This window comes from Homo sapiens, chromosome 2 (genome assembly GCF_000001405.40).
Source record: "Homo sapiens chromosome 2, GRCh38.p14 Primary Assembly".
Lineage (NCBI taxonomy): Eukaryota > Metazoa > Chordata > Mammalia > Primates > Hominidae > Homo > Homo sapiens.
Genome location: NC_000002.12, coordinates 197,625,894 through 197,651,354, shown reverse-complemented (window position 1 = coordinate 197,651,354; position 25,461 = coordinate 197,625,894). Strand labels below are relative to the sequence as shown.

General features: G+C 38.5%; 1 protein-coding gene across 6 annotated transcripts in view, besides 1 other annotated feature; it reads left to right on the top strand.

Annotated features, from left to right (window-relative positions):
- Positions 1-25,461, top strand: part of RFTN2 (raftlin family member 2) — a 107,364-nt gene that overhangs the window by 24,233 nt on the left and 57,670 nt on the right. For 4 of the 6 annotated variants that reach the window (XM_011510597.4, NM_144629.3, XM_011510596.4 and 1 more), the window contains exons 2-5: positions 4,689-4,872; positions 7,083-7,197; positions 17,358-17,637; positions 20,135-20,344. In XM_011510597.4, coding sequence (XP_011508899.1) covers positions 4,689-4,872; positions 7,083-7,197; positions 17,358-17,637; positions 20,135-20,344 — 789 coding nt within the window. The remainder of the gene's footprint in view (positions 1-4,688; positions 4,873-7,082; positions 7,198-17,357; positions 17,638-20,134; positions 20,345-25,461) is intronic. The other 2 variants (XM_017003332.3, XM_011510598.4) reach the window with 1 other exon arrangement.
- Positions 23,030-23,109: an enhancer, noted in NCBI's record as "active region_16941". NCBI's record gives its function as "activates an Ori minimal core promoter by ATAC-STARR-seq in GM12878 lymphoblastoid cells {active_cell/tissue: GM12878}" and the evidence as "EXISTENCE:reporter gene assay evidence [ECO:0000049][PMID:35858748]".

Here is a 25,461-nt window from a genome sequence, read left to right as displayed (position 1 = left end):
GAGCCACTGCGCCTGGCCTGACAATGATTTCTTGGATATGACACCAAAGCACAGGCAAAAAAAGTAAAAATAGATAAATGGGACTATATCAAACTTAAAAGCTTTGGTGCATCAAAGGACAGTCAACAGAGTGAAAAGTCAATATGTGGAATGGGAGAAAATAATTTCAAATCATATACCTGATAAAGGGTTAATATCCAGAATATATAAATAACTCCTACAACTCAACAACAAAGAAACAACCCAATTTTTAAATGAGCAAAGGGTTTGAACAGACAGTTCTCCAAATGGCCAATAAGATGTGAAAAGATTCTCAATATCACTAATAATTAGGGGAATACAAATCAAAACCACAATAAGTTATCACCTTATACCTGTTAGAATAGCTACTATCAAAGAAACAAGTGTTAGTGAGGATGCAGACAATTAGAACACTTGTGTACTGTTGGTGGGAATGTAAAATAGTTCAGCCATCATAGAAAACAATATGGAGTTTCCTCAAAAACTTATAAATAGAATTACCATATGATCCAGCAATCCCACTTCTGGGCATGTATTTAAAATAATCAAAAGCAGGATCTCAAAGATATATTTACACACCCATATTAATAGCAACATTATTCACAATAGTCAAGAGGTGGAAACAACCCACATGTTCATAGACAGATGGATAAACAAAATGTGGTATATATATTCAATGGAATATTATTCAATCTTAAAAAGGAAGGAAATCTTGTAACATGCTACAGCGTGGATGAACCTTGAGGACATTACACTAAGTGAAATAAGCCAGTCACAAAAAGGCCTACAGTGTTGTAAAGATACGAGGAAGATTCCCAAGCCAAGGCACATCCCTTATTCTTAGATTGAATTTTACAATTTTCAAAGGACACACTTTCACAAAAATGAAGTGCTCACCTCTATTCATATTTTTAAAGTTATCAACCACAATCTATGGACTTTTGTGTCCATATGATTTTGTGTCAATATGATTCCTCTTATATGAGGTATCTAATGTAGTCAAATTCATAGCAAAAGAAAGTGGAATGATGGTTACCAGGGTCTGACAGGAAGTAATGGGGAGTTGTTTAATGGGTATAGGGTTTTATTTTTTCAAGCTGAAAAAGTTCTGGAGATTTGTTTCACAATAATGCGTGTATACTTAACACTACTGAACTGTACACTAAAAAATGGTTAAAATGGCAAATTTTTGTTTTTCCTACAATTTTTATACATTTTAATATATATTATATATCTTTTTATTGTAGTAAAACATACATGACATGAAATTTACCATTTTAGCTATTAGTAAGTGTACAGTTCAGTGACATTAAGTACATTCATATTGTTGTGCAGCCATTACTACAATCCAACTCCAAATGACATTTAATTGGGTAGTGAAGGGGGTATTATGGAGCTAAAATAAAATTAATTACTAACTGCTGAGTATCTGGTAAAAATACAGAACCATTGAAATACTTTCAAATAATCTATATGTAGTAGCAACTTAAGTGCCTCTTTGAACTTCGTAGGTGCCTTTTTTGTGTGGGCTTCTGCCGTTCTTCACTATCTGGGATGACAGTAAGATTGCAAAGAACAGAGTGTTGAGCTGCCTAAATTTCCCTGAAGTCTAACCCAAAGCTCTGGGAGGGTGGACTTTTCTCAACCCTGAGTTCTTGATTTCTGGGGTTTCCTTCCAATCAGTGGTGCTAAGGTAGACGAGGTAGGCAACATGAGGCAACATGTGCCCTGACAGTGACTCCAACCAAGTCAGCAAGAGCAGCAAGGCCAGCAGTATCCAGAAGTACTCCCAAGCCCACAAGCTCATGTGAACTTTTCTGAATAAAAGCCACATTCTTCCCCTTCATTAAATCATTATTTGTGGTACAATCTTCTCCCAGATTTCTTTCTGGATTTCATTCAAAGATGGAGCTAATTAAATCCCATTAGCTCCACCTCTAAGTATTTTTTCTTCATTTGCAACATGGCTTTTTCTCATTGTAATATCATTAAAATGAGGAACATGTGGTGAAGCCTTATGCTAGAGACTCCTGAAGTAAATATGACCTTTACCTCTATTTATTTGGATTCTCAGTATGTTCTTAACCATCCCCACTTCCATGATCAAAAGAATTTTTACAAATTCCACGTCACTGCCTATGTTTTTCTCTGTTTTGTCTCTCTTCTCCAAGGCCTAGATAGTGTGAACAATTGTTCCTGAAATTGCTAACCTAACTTTTTTTATTTCCACTAGCTAATCTTGATTGCTTGCCTTTTTTATGCAATAACTTCATTTCTTAATTCCCCTTATGAGCAGTATTTCCAATTTAACATAGTGACCTAAGGAACATGCTAGACATAGAAAGACATGAATACAGTAGGTTCCTTTCCCTTAAGGAATTCTCAGTCTAACAGCCAAGACATATAAACAAATAACTATAATACAATCTGATAAGCACACTAATAGAAGGACATGCAGCCCAGAGGAAGGAATAATTAACTCAGGCTGGGAGAACAGGGAAGGAAATGAAGGCCTGGTGGCATGAAACAGAGTGGCAGGTTCAGAAACACCAAGTCCTTCCAGCATCCCAAAGCAAGACACGTAAGAGAAAGACTAACACGCGTGGAGGCTGAATCAAGAGGCAGAGGCCAGACTATGAAGATTCTTTTGTATTACACTAAGACATTTCCACTTCCTGCAGTAAACAATTTTCTTTAAATTTTTTTAAGATTAGTATATAGTTCTAAAAATAAGTTTAGGTTATGTTTCATTCCTTAGTGTTAAGAGTTGCTTCCATTTTGTTATAGTTTTTCAGTTCCTTTGTTTAGAAATCAGAGTTGGTAGTCAAAATACTAAAGAGCAAAACCAAATGAATCACAGAATTGCCACACCAACAAGCAGAGCTGGGCTGTTTACAAGGAAGCCCAGCTGTTTCTTCAAAGTCCAAGATCATTCTCTTTGTTTTCATTCCTATTCATAATGATGAAGAAGATATATTGTAAATAAAATATTAATTTAAATCCAAAAGAGGGTGAAAATTGGAGGAAGTGGACCCTTCCTGGTTTATATAACTTTTCTGTTGAGCGCTTATTTTAGTTTTTGAAGTTGGCGTGAATACCCACTGATGGTGGATTTGTCTCATCATGTGGATACTGATGTAAGGGGAGGAGGGGATTTCCTCTGGCCCTTCCTCCTCATCTGCTTCTTAACCTCCTTCCTGTGCTCAGGCAATCAGCCGCAGTTCTTTGCCAGACACCACTCACCACACTGACAGAGGTCAACAGCCAACTAGGCTCATATCTGGAATTAATTTCATATGTCTTGTTACTTAAGAGATAATCAAAATGCAGGTCTATTTCTAGGTATTACTTCTTGATTGTTTTTCATACAATGAGAAATATTGTTGTAGCAAATAAAGTTGTTATTTAAATTAATACTGCTGGATCATTAAGAACATTTTCTCAAATAACACACTCTTTTCCTTTTACTACTCTAAAGTCTGTACAGATAGTGCTATTCTATAGTTTCTACAGATTTGCTATCCTTCAAGGAATGGTTTAATTGCAAATCAATTTTGCATTTAAATTTCCACTACGTTTAGAATTTTTATTTATTAAAGAGACTACTGGATATCTGTACTTTTTCATTCACCTTTACTCAAGCATTTACATAAGCACCATGAGAAATTATATGTTTAGCTTCCCAGATAAACTTAAAACACAGTGCTTTGAAAGAGTAATTAGAAATAAGAAAGCCTTGACAAGTGCTGCCTAATAAATGCCATTTCTCCCATTTTTAGTTATTAGATTGGTATGAATTTTATTTTTAAGAAATTATGCATCTCGGCTGGGAGCGCTGGCTCACACCTATAATCCCAACACTTTGGGAAGCCAAGGCAGCAGGCTTGCTTGAGCTCAGGAGTTTGAGATCAGCCTGGGCAACATGGCAAAACCTCGCCTCTACAAAAAATACAAAACTCAGCCGGGTGTGGTGGCATGCACCTATAGTCCCAGCTACGTGGAAGGATTGTGTGAGCCCGGGAGGTGGGGGCTACAGAGAGCCACGATTGTGCCACTGCACTCCAGCCTGGGGGACAGAGTGAGACCCTCTCTCAAAAAAGAAAAAAAGAAAAGAAAAGAAATTATGCATCTCATCTTGTTTAGTCATAAAAATGACTGGCTCTTCAAATTATTGTATCTCCTATGTATGTCTTCAATATCTATTAATGGAAATATAGTCACTCAAATGAAATCCTAAAAAATGAAACTGACCTAATTGAAAAAACTCATAAGACATTGTATTTCTGCTTTAGACATATGGGTGATATTATGTATCTACTAATTTGTAAGGTCACTTTTCCTTTTTTCTGAAATGACTTTAAAAATGTATAAATACATGTTAATGTAACTTTATCTGAGATTAAGCCATTGGAGTTTTTTTTTTTTTTTTTTTTTTTGTAGAGACAATGTCCTACTATGTTCCTGTTATGTTGCCCAGGCTGGTCTCAAACTCCTGGGCTCAAACAATCCCCCTGCCTCAGCCTTCCAAAGTGCTGGGATTACACGCATGTGCCATTGCACCCGGCCAAGATCTTTTCCTATTCATTAGTATTATCACCCATAGGTAGAAATAATGTATAATTCAATCTTAAGAATATGCAAATTTCTCTTTGCTTTTGATATTTCAGCTTCATCAAACCCAGAAGTCATCAAGATAAATTCAATTCTGGATATAGTAACAAAAGTGGAAAACTATTATCTTAAAGGATATATTGTCGGGGCTATTCATCCTGTTATACAACCTGTGGGGCAGCGAAAACACCTACCTGCAAGTTACCTATACAGAGTGGTGCTATTGCGCTTGAAATTAAGGTAAGCACACTATTCAAGAAAGAGGCAGGTGAGGGTGACAGTTCTCTTTGTCTAAAAGAAAAAAAAATTTGAATCAAGTGGCAGAGAATAAAGGACACATGGGGGTTTTAGTTTAAAGCACATTTTCCAGCAGTGGAACCTGGATTGAAGCAAGGAAATGTTACACCTCCTTCCTTAAAACTCCTGATTGATTTTTGCTTCTTGCAGACAAATGTGTCCTAAGTGAGGATGTCAGTGAACAAAGGGAAAGCAAAATAGATTCCAGAGGCACCTAGAAGCTCCTGTAGCCACTTCAGCAGATGCAGGAGAAGCAGTGAGCTACAGATACTATCACTAGGCTAAAGAGCTGACCAGACCTACCAAGTCCACTTTCACTGAGCTTTCTGACTGTCCTACATTGTTTTATTAATAGTGGCAACAGAAACTATCTCTACATTCTAAAACTTTTTTTTTTTCAAGACAGAGTTTTGCTCTGGTTGCCCAAGCTGGAGTGCAATGGCACCAACTCAGCTCACTGTAACCTCTGCCTCCCGGGTTCAAGCGATTCTTCTGCCTCAGCCTCCCAAGTAGCTGGGATTACAGGCTCCTGCCACCACAGCCAGCTAATTTTTTGTATTTTTAGTACAGATGGGGTTTCACCATGTTGACCAGGCTGGTCTCGAACTCCTGACCGCAGGTGATCCACCCACCTTGGCCTCCCAAAGTACTGGGGTTACAGGCATGAGCCACTGCACCCAGCCCATTCTAAAACTTTTAACGACAGAAAGACCTACTATGACAAGTTCTAACAAATTAGATAGACCTCTTGTTAACCTTTTTCCAAAATCTAATTTAAAAGCTAACCATTGTAGTGTTTTTTATTTTAATAGCTACTTTTCCAAACAATACTGCAACCATTTTTGCCAGCCTAGATTGTAAATTTGATAGTTTTCATGGTAAAATACTGTTGTTCTTTCCAATTAAGAATAAAAATAACCAGACAAATATCTTAGATTAACACATTAAATTTTTTTACACAACCCTTTAATTAATATGTTGCTTAATGACAGGGATGCATTCTAAGAAGTGTGTCCTTAGGCTGCTTTGTCATTGTGTGAACATCATAGAGTGTACTTACACAAACCTAGATGGTATAGCCTACTATACACCTAGGCTATATGGTATAGCCCATTGCTCTGAGACTCCAAACCTGTACAGTCTGTTACCGACTGAATACTGTAGGCAATGGTATCACAATAATAAGTATTTGTGTAGCTAAACATACCTAAAGATGGAAAAGGTACAGTAAAAATACGTTACTCTATAATCTTACGGGACCACCGCTGTATATGCAGTCCATTGTTGACAGAAACATCATTATGCAGTGCATGACTGTATATCAAAACCATCCTAAAGACCAGGGAAAAAACTGCATTTTCTCTTTACAGTGATGGATCAACAACAATCACTTTAAGAGAGGGCTAAGCAGAGAAGGAAAAATGAAAGTAGAGGAAAACTAAGAAAATAGGAAAATTTCAAAAAACAAGAAAGAGACTTAAAAAAATTCCAGGTGTGATTTTAAGAAACACTATCTCCCATGGAGTAATTGCCTACTTTAACATGTCTGGCAGGGTGTGTACAGGCTTCAGCTTTCACTAGAATATGAAGCCTCATCAGATATTTACTAGTTTAAGCATTACTAAGCAAACATGACATTTTTGCATAGTAGGATTGCTTATGTCCTAATTACAAATCTTATCAACCATGTGTGAATTATCTTTTCTGCTTTTAGGATTACTTCAGACAGATTTAGCAGTACCCTGGCAAGCCGAAGAATAAGCAAAGAAAAAAGATCAGAAAAGAAGAAAAAGGGAAAAGGGCAATATTTATTTGCATTTAAATGGAATTTTTACTTCTGCTTTTGTTCGATAAGATATAACAACAATCTAAAATTATTTCTTATAAGTTTATTAAAACTACAGACATGAAGCTTTTCTTTCTTTCTAACTGACAAATTAAATTAATAGCAGTTTAAATTAAGGAAATTTGAATTAATAGAAGTTATTGTGCTTTTCTGGTATTTTTATATAAGAAGATAGCCATCAGGTTTGAAATAATAAAAAATGATTACCTTGACCCTGTTTGTGAGTTGCTCACTCATTTTCACATGAGCATATTAGCTGAAAAGCAGCAATTGGCCTCCAACCATAAACATATTCCCTCTGTTACAGCCCAAAGAATTCGGCAGCACCCAGTGGACAAAGACGCCCAAGGCTCGTGATTGAGGAATGTCCCCTAACTTCTGAGGCACAAACAAATGACGCAGCAAAAGAACTGATAGAAAAGGTACTAAATTTATGCACTTTTTCATGGGATATTGACAAACATTTGGTATTTCATCTTCATCAATTCCCTTTTTTACCCTAAAAAGAATAAGGAAATGACAGGTAACTTTTCTACCAGAATTTAAAACATATCGAAGTACTTGTGCCAAATGGTAAAGCGTTTAAAACAGAAATACAAGCCAGTGAAACAAAATGGACAACCAGAACTAAATTTAAACAAATATAAGAAGTTTAATGACAAACCTGATGAAATAAAATGGAGGAACAACCATTATTTAATGAATGCTGTTGGGAAAGTAGGCAATTGTTCTGCAGAGAATAAATTCCACATTTCAGATGAGATAAAGAGGTAATTTTTTAATATAAAAAAACAAAAGAAAATGGAAGAGTAAATATAGTCAATGAATAGATTAAGGAGTTTGAGTATATAAATATAACTTAACTGTACTAGGAAAACTAAGCTTAAAAAAGAAGAATCAAAGAGAAATCTGCAACAGACATGTCCTATAGGAGGTTCGTTTTCAAAATATACATTACAGGAAAGGAATACAAATTCATGAAAGTAATATGCCGTCTTAAATGGACAGAGAGAGACAATGGACAGCAAATATAAAAGAAAGAAACGTCAATAATTAGGAGACAGTTGGTAACAGGTTCAACCTAATAATGTTTAATGTAAATAAAAACTGAGAACTAATACCTCACCAGTATTAAACCAGGAAATTTAATTAAAATCCAGTATTAGCAAAGCTTTAAGACAAGTTAAGGCCAGGTGTGGTGGCTCACACCTGTAATCCCAACACTTTTGGAGGCCGAGGCAGGAGGATCACTTGAGGCCAGGAGTTCCAAGACCAGCCTAAGCAACATAGCAAGACCCCCAACTCTACAAAACCTGAAAGAAAAAAAAATCAGCAGGACGTGGTGGCACATGCCTGTAGTACCATGTACTCAGGAGGGTAAGACAGGAGGATCACCTGAGCCTAGAAGTGAGCCTGCAGTGAGCTGTGATCAAGCCACTACACTCCAGCCTGGGTGACAGAGCAAGACTCTATCTCTAATAATAATAACAATAATAAAAACAAAGAAAAGCTAACATTCATAATACAACTGGCATTGTAATTAATGCAGTATTCCTGAATATCTATTTAGTAAGAAGAATCATAAATCCCATTTTGTCTTTTTTTGTTGTTGTTGTTAAAGAAAATAGGCTGGAGTATAGTGGCACAATCATAGCTCGCTGCAGTCTCGAACTCTTGAACTCAAGCAATTCTCCTGCCTTAGCCACCCTGGTAGCTGGGATTGTAGGCATGGGACACCACGCCCAGCCAATTTTTTTATTTTGTAAAGACAGGAGTCTGTATTGCCCAGGCTAGTCTTAAATTCCTGGGCTCAATCGATCCTACTGCCATGGCCTCCCAAAGTGCTGGGATCACAGGTGTGAGCCACCATGCCTGGCCATAAATCCCATTTTATTTTTTAATCCCCTCCTTAGGAATTGATTTTAAGAAAATAATTGAAAAGGGGAAGAAATAATTTTTATACAAAGATATTTAACCAACAGTGAATAAGGGTCCAAATTCTCAATAACTGGAAGACTTTGAAAAAGACAATGATGGATTAATATAATAGAATATTTTATAGGCATTAAACATGACAACTATATTGACTGTCAAGAGAGAAAAGTCTATACAATATAACTTAATTGAAACTTAAATGAAAAGTTAAATGTTGTATATGTATTGATTAAAACAAAAAAGTTGTACATTCATAAATATTCTAAATTGATGGGATTTTATGGTGAAAGGTGTTTCTTTTCCACTGCATTGACATATTTATAAGGTTTTACTTTTTATTTAAATACATACAGCTAAAATCTAAAGCATTTCCTTTCAGGTAAGAAACTGAAATGTGTTCACTTGTTTCTCTAGTTGTTTCCAAGCGTTAAATACTATGTATGTAAGATTATCTGTGGTTTGGGGATAGTCAGTTATAGTTGCTAATGATTATTTCCCATTTAGGCACAAAGTCACTATTCAATAAGGGTTTTTAGTCTTTGAGACTAAATTTTATAAACAAACTACGCATATTGTTTATTAGCACTATTCTGGGAAATTTTTTTTCTGGTAATAAATCCACTCCAGCAAATTTCATTTGAAAACAAAAATGTAGCTACTAATTTAGTCTTAATAGATTACCGTCAGAGCCCTTGTTTTGCATTTGACTTCCTGGACACAGTTAAAGATCTATTTAAACAGGAAAGTACTGTTATTTCAGCAATTAGAGCAACAGGGTTATTTCATTAAGAGAAAAGCTTCAGGAAACATAGCACATGAAATATTTGAGCATTGCTCCGGGTATGAACAAGAGCCATAGATGAATTGCCAAATATTATTTTTGAGCGGCTGCCTTGTGTAAAGAGTTGGTTGTTGAACAGCTAACTTTTAAGTCAAGTTCTAACATTATACCAGTGTTCACTCTAATTTTAAAATTCAGTTTGTAAGTATTTTTCTCAGAATTTTAAACTAAAAATAACATTTTAAAAATATCAATCCTCCAACTTAAAAATGGAAAAAAAATTAATACTTTATTTGTTACCAGTCCTTTCCAGATAAAAGTTCCTAGTAATAGAAAAAAGTTTTTCTGCATCTTTTCACTCAAATCAACTAACAAGACCTAGAGGAAGCACTGACGGTAAATGCACCCATTTCTACCTGCAGAATATGCCATATCTCTATCCCTCCCTCTTCTTCTCTCCCAGGACAACTGATATAAAGGAAAATTTGTGGTTGTTTTAAATGGTTACAATCTCAATATGTTAATTCATAGGAACAAATGCTGTTTCACCAGCTCCAGTCCCTTGTCCTAGCTCCACACACCCACACTCTCTCCCCGCTCTCAGAATTCTCCTGCCTCACAAGCTGGAGCTGAGTGAATTAAGTTGCCCCCATTGACTGGGCATTGCTCTCTGTTCTGCCCCAGTTCTTCCTGGCTTTTCTCACTCCATTTCATTCTGACTCTAAATGTTTGCATTTGCAACCTCCATCATAATTCTTTTTCTTTCTTCTCCTCCCAGGTAACATTTACAACATTTAATTTAAATGTTTAAAACAGTAGCCATATAAAAGACATTGCTATTTCTTCATTTAACTAATTTAACAAGTACTTATAGAGCACCTATGAGTAGAAAACACTGCAATACAAAGAAGGATAAGACACAGTCCCCTACGTCAGCCTTCAAAGGAGCTGCCAGTTGAACACATGAAGAAAATAGAACAAAGAAACGAAGTAAAAGCAGAGAGGAACAGGCCTTAGGTTTTTGGCTGTTACATTTCAACAAAAGCTAACTCTTACCGATATGTCAATGGGAAAAGTGCTGAGTGTAAAAATAAGCATTCCTGGGGGAGGAGCCAAGATGGCCGAATAGGAACAGCTCCGGTCTACAGCTCCCGGCGTGAGCGACGCAGAAGACGGGTGATTTCTGCATTTCCATCTGAGGTACCGGGTTCATCTCACTAGGGAGTGCCAGACAGTGGGCGCAGGTCAGTGGGTGCGCGCACCGTGCGCGAGCCGAAGCAGGGCGAGGCATTGCCTCACTTGGGAAGCGCAAGGGGTCAGGGAGTTCCCTTTCCGAGTCAAAGAAAGGGGTGACGGACTCACCTGGAAAATCGGGTCACTCCCACCCGAATATTGCGCTTTTCGGACCGGCTTAAAAAACGGCGCACCACGAGATTATATCCGGCACCTGGCTCGGAGGGTCCTACGCCCACGGAGTCTCGCTGATTGCTAGCACAGCAGTCTGAGATCAAACTGCAAGGCGGCAGTGAGGCTGGGGGAGGGGCGCCCGCCATTGCCCAGGCTTCCTTAGGTAAACAAAGCAGCCAGGAAGCTCCAACTGGGTGGAGCCCACCACAGCTCAAGGAGGCCTGCCTGCCTCTGTAGGCTCCACCTCTGGGGGCAGGGCACAGACAAAAAGACAGCAGTAACCTCTGCAGACTTAAATGTCCTTGTCTGACAGCTTTGAAGAGAGCAGTGGTTCTCCCAGCACGCAGCTGGAGATCTGAGAACGGGCAGACTCCCTCCTCAAGTGGGTCCCTGACCCCTGACCCCTGAGCAGCCTAACTGGGAGGCACCCCCAGCAGGGGCACACTGACATCTCACACGGCAGGGTATTCCAACAGACCTGCATCTGAGGGTCCTGTCTGTTAGAAGGAAAACTAACAAACAGAAAGGACATCCACACCAAAAACCCATCTGTACATCACCATCATCAAAGACCAAAAGTAGATAAAACCACAAAGATGGGGAAAAAACAGAACAGAAAAACTGGAAACTCTAAAACGCAGAGCGCCTCTCCTCCTCCAAAGGAACGCAGTTCCTCACCAGCAACAGAACAAAGCTGGATGGAGAATGACTTTGACGAGCTGAGAGAAGAAGGCTTCAGACGATCAAATTACTCTGAGCTACGGGAGGACATTCAAACCAAAGGCAAAGAAGTTGAAAACTTTGAAAAAAATTTAGAAGAATGTATAACTAGAATAACCAATACAGAGAAGTGCTTAAAGGAGCTGATGGAGCTGAAAACCAAGGCTCGAGAACTACGTGAAGAATGCAGAAGCCTCAGGAGCCAATGCGATCAACTGGAAGAAAGGGTATCAGCAATGGAAGATGAAATGAATGAAATGAAGTGAGAAGGGAAGTTTAGAGAAAAAAGAATAAAAAGAAATGAGCAAAGCCTCCAAGAAATATGGGACTATGTGAAAAGACCAAATCTACGTCTGGCTGGTGTACCTGAAAGTGATGCGGAGAATGGAACCAAGTTGGAAAACACTCTGCAGGATATTATCCAGGAGAACTTCCCCAATCTAGCAAGGCAGGCCAACGTTCAGATTCAGGAAATACAGAGAACGCCACAAAGATACTCCTCGAGAAGAGCAACTCCAAGACACATAATTGTCAGATTCACCAAAGTTGAAATGAAGGAAAAAATGTTAAGGGCAGCCAGAGAGAAAGGTCAGGTTACCCTCAAAGGGAAGCCCATCAGACTAACAGCGGATCTCTCGGCAGAAACCCTACAAGCCAGAAGAGAGTGGGGGCCAATATTCAACATTCTTAAAGAAAAGAATTTTCAACCCAGAATTTCATATCCAGCCAAACTAAGCTTCATAAGTGAAGGAGAAATAAAATACTTTACAGACAAGCAAATGTTGACAGATTTTGTCATGACCAGGCCTGCCCAAAAAGAGCTCCTGAAGGAAGCACTAAACATGGAAAGGAACAACCGGTACCAGCCGCTGCAAAATCATGCCAAAATGTAAAGACCATCGAGACTAGGAAGAAACTGCATCAACTAACGAGCAAAATAACCAGCTAACATCATAATGACAGGATCAAATTCACACATAACAATATTAACTTTAAATGTAAATGGACTAAATGCTCCAATTAAAAGACACAGACTGGCAAATTGGATAAAGAGTCAAGACCCATCAGTGTGCTGTATTCAGGAAACACATCTCACGTGCAGAAACACACATAGGCTCAAAATAAAAGGATGGAGGAAGATCTACCAAGCAAATGGAAAACAAAAAAAGGCAAGGGTTGCAATCCTAGTCTCTGATAAAACAGACTTTAAACCAACAAAGATCAAAAGAGACAAAGAAGGCCATTACATAATGGTAAAGGGATCAATTCAACAAGAAGAGCTAACTATCCTAAATATATATGCACCCAATACAGGAGCACCCAGATTCATAAAGCAAGTCCTGAGTGACCTACAAAGAGACTTAGACTCCCACACAATAATAATGGGAGACTTTAACACCCCACTGTCAACATTAGACAGATCAACGAGACAGAAAGTCAACAAGGATACCCAGGAATTGAACTCAGCTCTGCACCAAGCGGATCTAATAGACATCTACAGAACTCTCCACCCCAAATCAACAGAATATACATTTTTTTCAGCACCACACCACACCTATTCCAAAATTGACCACATAGTTGGAAGTAAAGCTCTCCTCAGCAAATGTAAAAGAACAGAAATTATAACAAACTATCTCTCAGACCACAGTGCAAACAAAGTAGAACTCAGAATTAAGAATTTCACTCAAAGCCGCTCAACTACATGGAAACTGAACAACCTGCTCCTGAATGACTACTGGATACATAACGAAATGGAGGCAGAAATAAAGATGTTCTTTGAAACCAACGAGAACAAAGACACAACATACCAGAATCTCTGGGATGCATTCAAAGCAGTGTGTAGAGGGAAATTTACAGCACTAAATGCCCACAAGAGAAAGCAGGAAAGATACAAAATTGACACCCTAACATCACAATTAAAAGAACTAGAAAAGCAAGAGCAAACACATTCAAAAGCTAGCAGAAGGCAAGAAATAACTAAAATCAGAGCAGAACTGAAGGAAATAGAGACACAAAAAACCCTTCAAAAAATTAATGAATCCAGGAGCTGGTTTTTTGAAAGGATCAACAAAATTGATAGACCGCTAGCAAGACTAATAAAGAAAAAGAGAGAAGAATCAAATAGACACAATAAAAAATGATAAAGGGGATATCACCACCAATCCCACAGAAATACAAACTACCATCAGAGAATACTACAAACACCTCTATGCAAATAAACTAGAAAATCTAGAGGAAATGGATAAATTCCTCAACACATACACTCTCCCAAGACTAAACCAGGAAGAAGTTGAATCTCTGAATAGACCAATAACAGGAGCTGAAATTGTGGCAATAATCAATAGCTTACCAACCAAAAAGAGTCCAGGACCAGATGGATTCACAGCCGAATTCTACCAGAGGTACAAGGAACAACTGGTACCATTCCTTCTGAAACTATTCCAATCAATAGAAAAAGAGGGAATCCTCCCTAACTCATTTTATGAGGCTAGCATCATTCTGATACCAAAGCCGGGCAGAGACACAACCAAAAAAGAGAATTTTAGACCAATATCCTTGATGAACATTGATGCAAAAATCCTCAATAAAATACTGGCAAAACGAATCCAGCAGCACATCAAAAAGCTTATCCACCATGATCAAGTGGGCTTCATCCCTGGGATGCAAGGCTGGTTCAATATACACAAATCAATAAATGTAATCCAGCATATAAACAGAGCCAAAGACAAAAACCACATGATTATCTCAATAGATGCAGAAAAGGCCTTTGACAAAATTTAACAACACTTCATGCTAAAAACTCTCAATAAATTAGGTATTGATGGGACGTATTTCAAAATAATAAGAGCTATCTATGACAAACCCACAGCCAATATCATACTAAATGGGCAAAAACTGGAAGCATTCCCTTTGAAAACTGGCACAAGACAGGGATGCCCTCTCTCACCGCTCCTATTCAACATAGTGTTGGAAGTTCTGGCCAGGGCAATTAGGCAGGAGAAGGAAATAAAGGGTATTCAATTAGGAAAAAAGGAAGTCAAATTGTCCCTGTTTGCAGACGACATGATTGTATATCTAGAAAACCCCATTGTCTCAGCCCAAAATCTCCTTAAGCTGATAAGCAACTTCAGCAAAGTCTCAGGATACAAAATCAATGTACAAAAATCACAAGCATTCTTATACACCAACAACAGACAAACAGAGAGCCAAATCATGAGTGAACTCCCATTCACAATTGCTTCAAAGAGAATAAAATACCTAGGAATCCAACTTACAAGGGATGTGAAGGACCTCTTCAAGGAGAACTACAAACCACTGCTCAAGGAAATAAAAGAGTATACAAACAAATGGAAGAACATTCCATGCTCATGGGTAGGAAGAATCAATATCGTGAAAATGGCCATACTGCCCAAGGTAATTTACAGATTCAATGCCATCCCCATAAAGCTACCAATGCCTTTCTTCACAGAATTGGAAAAAACTACTTTAAAGTTCATATGGAACCAAAAAAGAGCCCGCGTCGCCAAGGCAATCCTAAGCCAAAAGAACAAAGCTGGAGGCATCACACTACCTGACTTCAAACTATACTACAAGGCTACAGTAACCAAAACAGCATGGTACTGGTACCAAAACAAGAGATATAGATCAATGGAACAGAACAGAGCCCTCAGAAATAACGCCGCATATCTACAACTATCTGATCTTTGACAAACCTGAGAAAAACAAGCAATGGGGAAAGGATTCCCTATTTAATAAATGGTGCTGGGAAAACTGGCTAGCCATATGTAGAAAGCTGAAACTGGATCCCTTCCTTACACCTTATACAAAAATCAATTCAAGATGGATTAAAGACTTAAACATTAGACCTAAAACCATAAAAACCCTAGAAGAAAACCTAGGCATTACCATTCAGGACATAGGCATGGGCAAGGACTTCATGTCTAAAACACCAAAAGCAATGGCAACAAAAGACAAAATTGACAAATGGGATCTAATTAAACTAAAGAGCTTCTGCACAGCAAAAGAAACTACCATCAGAGTGAACAAGCAACCTACAAAATGGGAGAAAATTTTCACAACCTACTCATCTGACAAAGGGCTAATATCCAGAATCTACAATGAACTCAAACAAATTTACAAGAAAAAAACAAACAACCCCATCAAAAAGTGGGCGAAGGACATGAACAGACACTTCTCAAAAGAAGACATTTATGCAGCCAAAAAATACATGAAAAAATGCTCATCATCACTGGCCATCAGAGAAATGCAAATCAAAACCACAATGAGATACCATCTCACACCAGTTAGAATGGTGATCATTAAAAAGTCAGGAAACAACAGATGCTGGAGAGGATGTGGAGAAATAGGAACACTTTTACACTGTTGGTGGGACTGTAAACTAGTTCAACCGTTGTGGAAGTCAGTGTGGTGACTCCTCAGGGATCTAGAACTAGAAATACCATTTGACCCAGCCATCCCATTACTGGGTATATACCCAAAGGACTATAAATCATGCTGCTATAAAGACACATGCACAAGTATGTTTATTGCGGCATTATTCACAATAGCAAAGACTTGGAACCAACCCAAATGTCCAACAATCATAGACTGGATTAAGAAAATGTGGCACATATACACCATGGAATACTATGCAGCCATAAAAAATGATGAGTTCATGTCCTTTGTAGGGACATGGATGAAATTGGAAATCATCATTCTTAGTAAACTATCGCAAGAACAAAAAACGAAACACCGCATATTCTCACTCATAGGTGGGAATTGAACAATGAGATCACATGGACACAGGAAGGGGAATATCACACTCTGGGGACTGTTGTGGGGTGGGGGGAGGGGGGAGCTATAGCATTGGGAGATATACCTAATGCTAGATGACAAGTTAGGGGGTGCAGCGCACCAGCATGTCACATGTATACATATGTAACTAACCTGCACAATGTGCACATGTACCCTAAAACTTAAAGTATAATAAAAATAAATAAATAAATAAATAAATAATCCTTAAAAATAAAAAAAAAATAAAAAATAAAAAATAAGCATTCTTAAGTTCCCAAAAATTATTTCACTGATATTATATCATGTGCTTCAGAATCCTATTCTTTAACTGATAGGATTTAATCTAATCCTATGTGTTTGGCCCACATAGGAGACAATACCATAAAGACATAAGCCGATCAGAAAGCTTTGTAAGAGTAGTGGTATAAATTGGGCTTGTGCTTTATACCTACACATTCGTCAAGAATCAGTCTTTTAACATTTTTCTTTGATACCATCAAACAAGCAAAACTATATGTATTTTGCTTTTAATTTAATAAACCTTTATTAATGAAGATGTATTTGGTAATGTTATTTTTAGGAATTTCTTGGAATAGGTTTTAATTTTGCTCCAACTGGAGACACCATTGTTAAACGGTCTGCAAAAATCATGCTACAGAATTATTAGTTCTTCCCAAACAGTGGCCCTTCAGGGAAAAATAATTCCTGTTTTCATAATTTCTAAAGTATATTTGGTTCTGTTTGAAGGTCATGATGATCATGTGGCATGGTCTTGGGGGCAGTGCTATTTTACAGGTGATTCATTAGTTTATGAATGAGTCTTGTCACTGGTCAAGTTACTCCATCTTCTAGTGGATTTCCTCAATAAGCCTAAAGGTTAATTGATAAAGTAATCAATGAAAATAGAGTTTACATTTTGTTCTGCCATCTCTTTTTAAATATCAGATTAATGTCGCTGCTAAAAGAGGAATGAAATTTGTTGGATTCATATCACAGCATTATTCTCCATCTAAATTCTGCAATGGAACCAACCATGATGGAGATATAGAATCGATGCTACATGTGAGACACGGTTCAGATGAAAACTGTAGAAGTTGGAATGAAGGGACGTTAAGTGGGCAGTCATCTGAAAGCGGAATTGAGGAAGAACTTCATCATGAAAGTGGACAGTATCAAATGGAACAAAATGGCAGCCCTACTTCCTCTAAATCAAGAAAGGGAGAAGGTAATAGACAAGATTAGTAGAAAGAGAATATACTATAGTTTAAGCAAAATAAGTTTTTGAGGTTTTTTTTAGAAATATGAGTCAAAGTAAATTGCTAAAGATTATAATGACTAAATGAACTAATAAAAACCTCATGATTTTTAAAAGTTATTACAGCTAGCAATAAGGCAGGGCAGTTTTTTAGACAGTTGTCTCTGGCAGAACATAAAATGCCATCCACATAATGAAACTTTGTGTTGAAGATTGGTTTCTATTTAGTCATCCAAAACTCCCTCATAAATTGGAGGCTGTACATGTGTACCAAATAAGTGAGTCTATTAGGTCTAAAAAGCTGTTCTGATTTATGTTTGTACTAATAAACAGCATGTGAGAATTTTCATTTTGGCCTTTCCCATTTCATGGATGGTTTTAACCTTTGAAATTAATTGGCTTTCTTTGATCATCAACTAGAATGTGAAACTGGCACATCATAATGAAACAATTAATATAACAATAGTGCCTGCATCCTAAAATAACTTTGAACAACAGTTGTATTCTTCTGTGCCAGCTAGCAAGTCTTCCAAAGAAACTGAGAGTATTTTATTCATGCATTTGGGACCATTCAAAGTTTTCTGATACCTTTGTGGGCATGCTTTAAAAAAGCACTATCAGAGAAAAGCAAAGGCTACATATACCTTAGCATTAACAACATGGGCTCTGGAATCAGATACCTCAATTTCTTTATAAAAAGGGGTAATAGTAAGAACTCCCTCATTGGGTTGTTGTGAGAAGTAAATAAGAAATGTCTACAAAGTGTTTGACCCAGTGCCTGGTACAGAATAAACTCTATATTAACTGCTATTAACTGATCCTTCCATCAGTGTTGGCACTGGAGGAGCACGCCTTGGTGTCAGGCTTTCTGGGTTATGTTTTGATGTGCTTAGCATCCTATACATGGCAGAGATTCATTTAGCCACATAAGCTCCACCTCCTGAAGAAATAACTGGGAGCATTTACCAACTTAGATCGCACCCATCTCCACCATCATCACCACCACCCTCCTCTTTTCTCACCCATTCCCTAGCTAACAATGTCCCTGATTTTTCTGCAATGTAAAAAGTATAGGAATGTGTATTAGTCTGTTCTCATGCTGCAAATAAAGAAATACCCTAGACTGGGTAATTTATAAAGGAAAGAGATTTAATTGACTCACAGTCCAGCATGGCTGGAGAGGCCTTAGGAAACTGACAATCATGGCAGAAGGGAAAGCAAACATGTCCTTCTTCACATGGTGGCAGGAGAGAGAAGAATGAAAGCCCAGCAAAGGGGGAGGCCCCTTATAAAACCATCAGATCCTGTGAGAACTAACTCACTGTTATTAGAACAGGATGGGGGAAACCGCTCCCATGATTCAACTATCACTATCTGATCCCTCCCACAACATGTGGGGATTATGGGAACTACAATTCAAGATGAGATCTGGGTGGGGACACAGCCAAACCGTATCAGAATGTAAAAGTGAACAAGAGGTATCAGAATTATGGTCAGAGAGCTATTCACTATCTTCCACCCATTCCTACCTTTAAACTCCATGTGAGTTCCCACCCTTACTTTGAGCAAATCAGATGTCTATTTCTATTCCTTTAAGTTCTAAATCCAATATAGTACTTAATGTAACTATCAATCTTTAGATTCCTCTCTCTCAGTATTTTTAAAGTATGTACTTCTCAATAACTTTTCTGTAGCAGTGGTTTTTAATTAGAAGAGGGAGAATGGGGGTAGCAATAATTCACAAAAGACCTCTTTGAGTATCTGGTGAAATCCATGGAATCCAGATACTTTTGTCTGTCATACCGGTGATGTTAAGCTTCCTAAAACACAAACATAGGTGTGGATCCACTGACCCTACGTTAAGAATTTGCCAATTCCTAGTAAAGCAGAAGATATGATCCAGCATTTCCATGTCTGTTCTAGGGTCACTCTCACACATGTCCAAAGAGATACAAAGTTGGTAATAACAGAAAAATTGGAAATATTGCATATGTCCACCAAAAGGAGACTAGAACATTGGCATACTATGTAGCAGTTAAAATAAACGAATAAGATCTATATGGTTATTTACATTTCAAAGGCATGTTGAACAAAAGGTCAATTCATATCTACAGTAGGATACCATTTTTAAAAAAATTTTCAAACTGTAAAATGTTACACATCATTTATGGTTATATAAGTGTGTATTAAAAGATTAAAAGCTTGCATGAGAATGATAAACACCAACTTCATTATAGTACTTATTTCTGGAGAATAGAATTAGAGGATACCACATAGTAGCCTCAACCGTATCCATTTCTCATTTCTTTGAAAAAATAGTCTGAAACAAATATAGCATATTATTGACATTTGATTAAGCTGAGTGCTTGTTTGTATGCTTGGAATATCTCATGATTAGTGAAAAAATTAAGAATCTTTGATCAACAAAATTATAATTTTCCCCTTTTTTCTCCTTCTGAATGCCTAGCCTCAGATAACAAATTGTATACAGTCTTCAATGCTTTTGATGATGATTCAACCTCCTGGGCCTATCAGGAAGGCATCCTGTCAATGAAAGTAACAAGAAAAGGATCAGTCATTAGTACACTTGATGCTGATTGGCTGGAGTTAACTACCTTTTATTATAAACAAGGCTTGTCTTTAATTGATTCTTTTGTATTCTGGGAAACATCTAAAGGTAAGTTTTATGTTAATGATATTTTATATCTGAGGAATTTGAACTTGTATCAAAATCAGTGAAAATGTTTTTACCTCTCAAGTTCTATGGCTGAAAGGACAGATACCATTCCTAAGGAAATAAATTCCAGCTGTTACACAGATATGTAGCTTTAATTTAAAAGCTTAAAGCTCCTTCAGCACAATGGACACTTAAGGAGTGTGGGCAGAAATATAACGTAAAATGTTCACTGTTGGGTTGTAATTGGGAAACCACTGTGTGATTGACTAGGAGAATTTTCCAAATAAGATGTACTATAATAGTCCAAACGGGAGGTTTATGATGGCATTTCGTGTTTACTATTCATATTTATTACATTATCCCAATTTTGAACACTATCTACCATGTATATAGTCAGTCTATACCTGATTCTTTCTATAATTTGTACAGAAAAATCATCTTTGGTTTAGAAAGTGACGTTGGCTCTGTTCTTACTTCTGTCTTCACCTTGTCTTTCATCCCTCTCTAGCCTTCCTCATTTAGTTACAGTGGAGTATGTAATTATTTGTGTCTATCACAAAAATAAAGACAAACTATAAAATATTATCAAAAATGACTTTCTAGGAAGTTTTTTTAAGAGATGAGGGTTAAAAAAAGAAAAAGGAAAGGTAGTAATGAGACTAGAAAAATGCATTAGGAAAGGTGAAGTTTAGGAAATCCAGGATAATTAGGAACTCTTAAATCTATGAGGTTAGAGGAAAGAATGAAAAGCAAATAAGATCTCCCTATACCTTACTATTGTTAAATCAGCCTAGTATTTATTACCTTAACTGATCCAACTACAGACTTTGGATGATATTTTAAATTATCAGGAGTCATGTTCCAATAGGCCCTTTTAACTAGCAGTATTAAGGACCAAACGAATTGGAGCACCCAGAAATACAATACCTTGCGTAATGCTTAGCACATAGCAGGTGCTAAATAAACATTTCTTAGTATTTTTCAGTAGGCCAGGCACTGTGGCTCACACCTGTAATCCCAGCACTTTGGGAGGCCAAGGCAGGCAGATCACTTGAGTCCAGGAGTTCGAGACTAGCCTGGGCAATATGGCGAAACCTCATCTCTACAAAAAATGCAAACGTTAGTCAGGCATGGTGGCAGCCACCTGTATTCCCAGCTACCCAGGAGGCTGATGTGGGAGGATCACCTGAGCCCAGGGAGGTCAAGGCTGCAGTGAGCCATGATTGCACCACAACATTCTAGCCTGGGTGACAGAGTAAGACACTGTCTCAAAAAAAAATAAAATAAAATAAAATAAAATAAAATAAATATGTGTGTGTGTGTGTGTGTGTGTGTATAAAAATTAAAAATATTTCTTCATATTTTTTGGTTATTGGAAGCCTCTTCCACTTGGTCTTTTATTTATTTTTTATTATTATTATACTTTAAGTTCTAGGGTACATGTGCACAATGTGCAGGTTTGTTACATAGGTATACATGTGCCATGTTGGTGTGCCGCACCCATCAAATCGTCATTTACATTAGGTATTTCTCCTAATACTATCCCTCCCCCATCCCCCTGCCCCATGACAGGCCCCAGTATGTGATGTTTCCCACCCTGTGTCCAAGTGTTCTCATTGTTCAGTTCCCACCTATGAGTGAGAACATGTGGTGTTTGGTTTTCTGTCCTTGCGATAGTTTGCTCAGAATGATGGTTTCCAGCTTCATCCATGTCCCTACAAAGGACATGAAATCATCCTTTTTTATGGCTGCATAGTATTCCATGGTGTATATGTGCCACATTTTCTTAATCCAGTCTATCATTGATGGACATTTGGGTTGGTTCCAAGTCTTTGCTATTATGAATAGTGCCACAATAAACATACGTGTACGTGTGTCTTTATAGCAGCATGATTTATAATCCTTTGGGTATATACGCAGTAATGGGATGGCTGGGTCAAATGATATTTCTAGTTCTAGATCCTCGAGGAATTGCCACACTGTCTTCCACAATGGTTGAACTAGTTTACGGTCCCATCCACTTGGTCTTTTATAGCAATAGCAAAGTTTCATAGGAAGGACATGGGCTTTAGAATCAGACAGACCAAGGTTTAAATCCTATGTCTTCTACTTATTAGCTGTGTCATCTTCGGAAGTTAGTTGAGCTCACTGAGTCTCAGTTTCTTAAAGAGGAATAAAAATACTCCTACTTTTTCTGTTGTGATGATGTAACAAGATATAATAAATGTAAAGTGACTCCCAGAATGCCTAGCCTACAGTCAGAGTTCATTTTCTGGTGTTAGTTTTCTTTCCTGCCACTTGTTATGTGCAATTACAGTACTTTTAGTGTGGATCATCTATTTAGAGGTTGGTTTATGCTTCATAATATCTCTCTCTCTCTCTCTTTCTCTTTCTCTCTTGTTTCTCTTCTCTCCAAAAAGTTTAGTTGAAGCCATTTCAAATTTTGGTGTGTGACTAACTGCTGAACAGAAAAACAAAACATACACTTTTCACAATCTCTCTCAGGCATCCCTGCCTTGGGTCTTGCCTGATGAAAATAAAATTAGCCACAGCAGTTGCCAGCCAGGCTCTGTGTGGCTTTTGTTCTTAAAGCCTCAGAAGCTATTTAGAGAGCCCCAGGGAGACTCCCTCTCTCAGCAGCTCATGGGGTGGAGGGGGTCACGGAGACGGGGGTGCAGAATCTTCCCCTCTCAGCAGCTCTGGAATGTCTCATTAGACATTTGACATTGCAGGCTATGGCAAGCCCCTCACAAGCCACGTCAGTCTATGGGGTCTGGCAACTGAGCATGTCATTTGGGACTTTCCTGGGAGTACACAGGGAAGTTGCCAAGGGGAAATTGTGACCAATATCTGTGTCACTGTGAGAAGCATTCAGAGGAAGCAGGGCTGAATTGGTCGCTTTGTTTTGGTATGTTTGATGCCTGACATCTAAAGCACATGGGGAGGGTGGTGGGGGCAGACAATGCATATTTTGTTTGGTCTTGCTTCTGTCCTCTTCCAAAATATTGTCAGAAGTTAGCCCACCATGAGGAATGGAAGAACAAAACCAGACAGCGCTCAGAAATTTAAATATATTACCCCACAAATCACGCTGAATAAAATACCTCCTTCCAGAAACACGGGGGGGCGGGGGGGCGGGGGACAGATGTTCAAAAAGTTTTCTACTTCAGCAGAGTGTAAAAGTTGTAAGATCTGTGAAATTCCTTCTCAGTGTCCCTCCACACTCACTCTAACAGCCTTTTCTGCTGTGAAGCACACCCTGGGACACACACACAATTAGCCTCGAGGTTCCTACACTTCCCCAGCCTCCAAATGCCCCACCACCGCCAGAGCATAGTCTTTCCCCACCTTAGGATACCACATCTTAAGGCTACATTTTGATTTTTTAAGAATTCTTTTCAGACTTCACTTGTTATTCATTTCAATCTTTCCACTCCTATAAAAATGTTTGTGTGGCACTAGTAGAGGAGAGGTAGCACAATGAAGAGTGAGGATGGAGTTATAACATTGAAACTCATTTCATATATGCCAGGACCCATGCCAAGCACTGGGTTTATAATACTCTTCCCTACTTACAAGGCGCTAGCCGTATGGCATCGGGCAGTCAGGCAGTGAAAGTGTCAAAACATATATATCTAATTTCAAAACTAAGAAAATTGTGTAACATGACCATAGAGGATATTATGGCGAGAGTACCAGGGAAGAACTCACTTAAAGAGGTGGTCGGGAGGTCCCCTCTGAGAAGGCAGCAATCACACTGAGACTGGGCAGCTGGAGAGGAGCAGACCTGTGAGAACCAGAGGTAGGCCATTCTAGGCCGGAGAAACACATCTAAATGTACAAAGACCTTAGGGCAGGAAAGAGGAACTGGGAAAAGGTCTGTGTTTCTGGAGCAAGGCAAGCAACAGTATGGCTCTGGACACAATGGAAGAGGTAGGCAGCAGCCAGTCCCTACAGGGTCCTAAACAGGAAGAATGCAATGACAGCAGCTAACATCTATTTTGTACTTGCTATACACCAGCGTTGTGCTAAGCATTTTGCATTCATTAACTCATTTAGTCCCCACAGCAACCTGTGAGGTAAAGATGATTATGGCTGGGCATGGTGGCTCACGCCTGTAATCCCAGCACTTTGGGAGGCTGGGGTGGGCGGATTACGAGGTCAGGAGTTTGAGACCAGCCTGGCCAACGTAGTGAAACCCCGTCTCTACTAAAAATACAAAAAATGTGCTGGATGTGGTGGCGGGCGCCTATAGTCCCAGCTACTCAGGAGGCTGAGGCAAGAAAATCGCTTGCCAGGAGGCAGAGGTTGCAGTGAGCCGAGATCACACCACTGCACTCTAGCCCAGGCGACAGTGCAAGACTCCGTCTCAAAAAAAAAAAAAAAAAAAAAAGAAGATTATTCCTTTTTTTTATTTTAACTTTATTTATTTATTTATTTATTTATTTGTAGATGGGGTCTCACTGTCACCCAGGCTGGAGTGCAAGGGCACAATCATAGTTCACTGTAGCCTTGAACTCCTGGGCCGAGGCAATCCTCCCACCTCAGCCTCCCGAGTAACCAGGACTATATGCACGCCACCACACCCAGCTAATTTTTTAAATTTTTTTGTAGACATGGTCTCGCTTTGCTGCCCAGGTTGGTCTCAAACTCCTGGCTTCAAGTGATCCTCCAGCTTTGGCCTCCCAAAGTGCTGGGATTCCAGGTGTGAGCCATCGTGCCAGGCCATGCTTATTCTCCTTTTACATATGAAGGAACTGAAGCACAGAGATTTTACATAAGGTGCCTGCATTCACACAACTAGAAAGTGGTAGAGCCACCTAGATGGAGTGTGTGCTTTTACCAAGATATTTATTCCAATTCATTCATTAAAGATTTAAACAGGGAGTCATAATCTCATTTGCAATTTTTAAAGAATTTCTAGCAAGGTGCGGTGGCTCACGCTTGTAATCCCAGCACTTTGGGAGGCCAAGGCAGGTGGATCACTTGAGGTCAGGAGTTCAAGACTAGCCTGGCCAACACGGCAAAACGCTGTCTCTATTAGAAATGCAAAAATTAGCCGGGCATGGTGGGTGCCTGTAGTTCCAGCTACTCAGGAAGCTGAGACAGGAAAATCT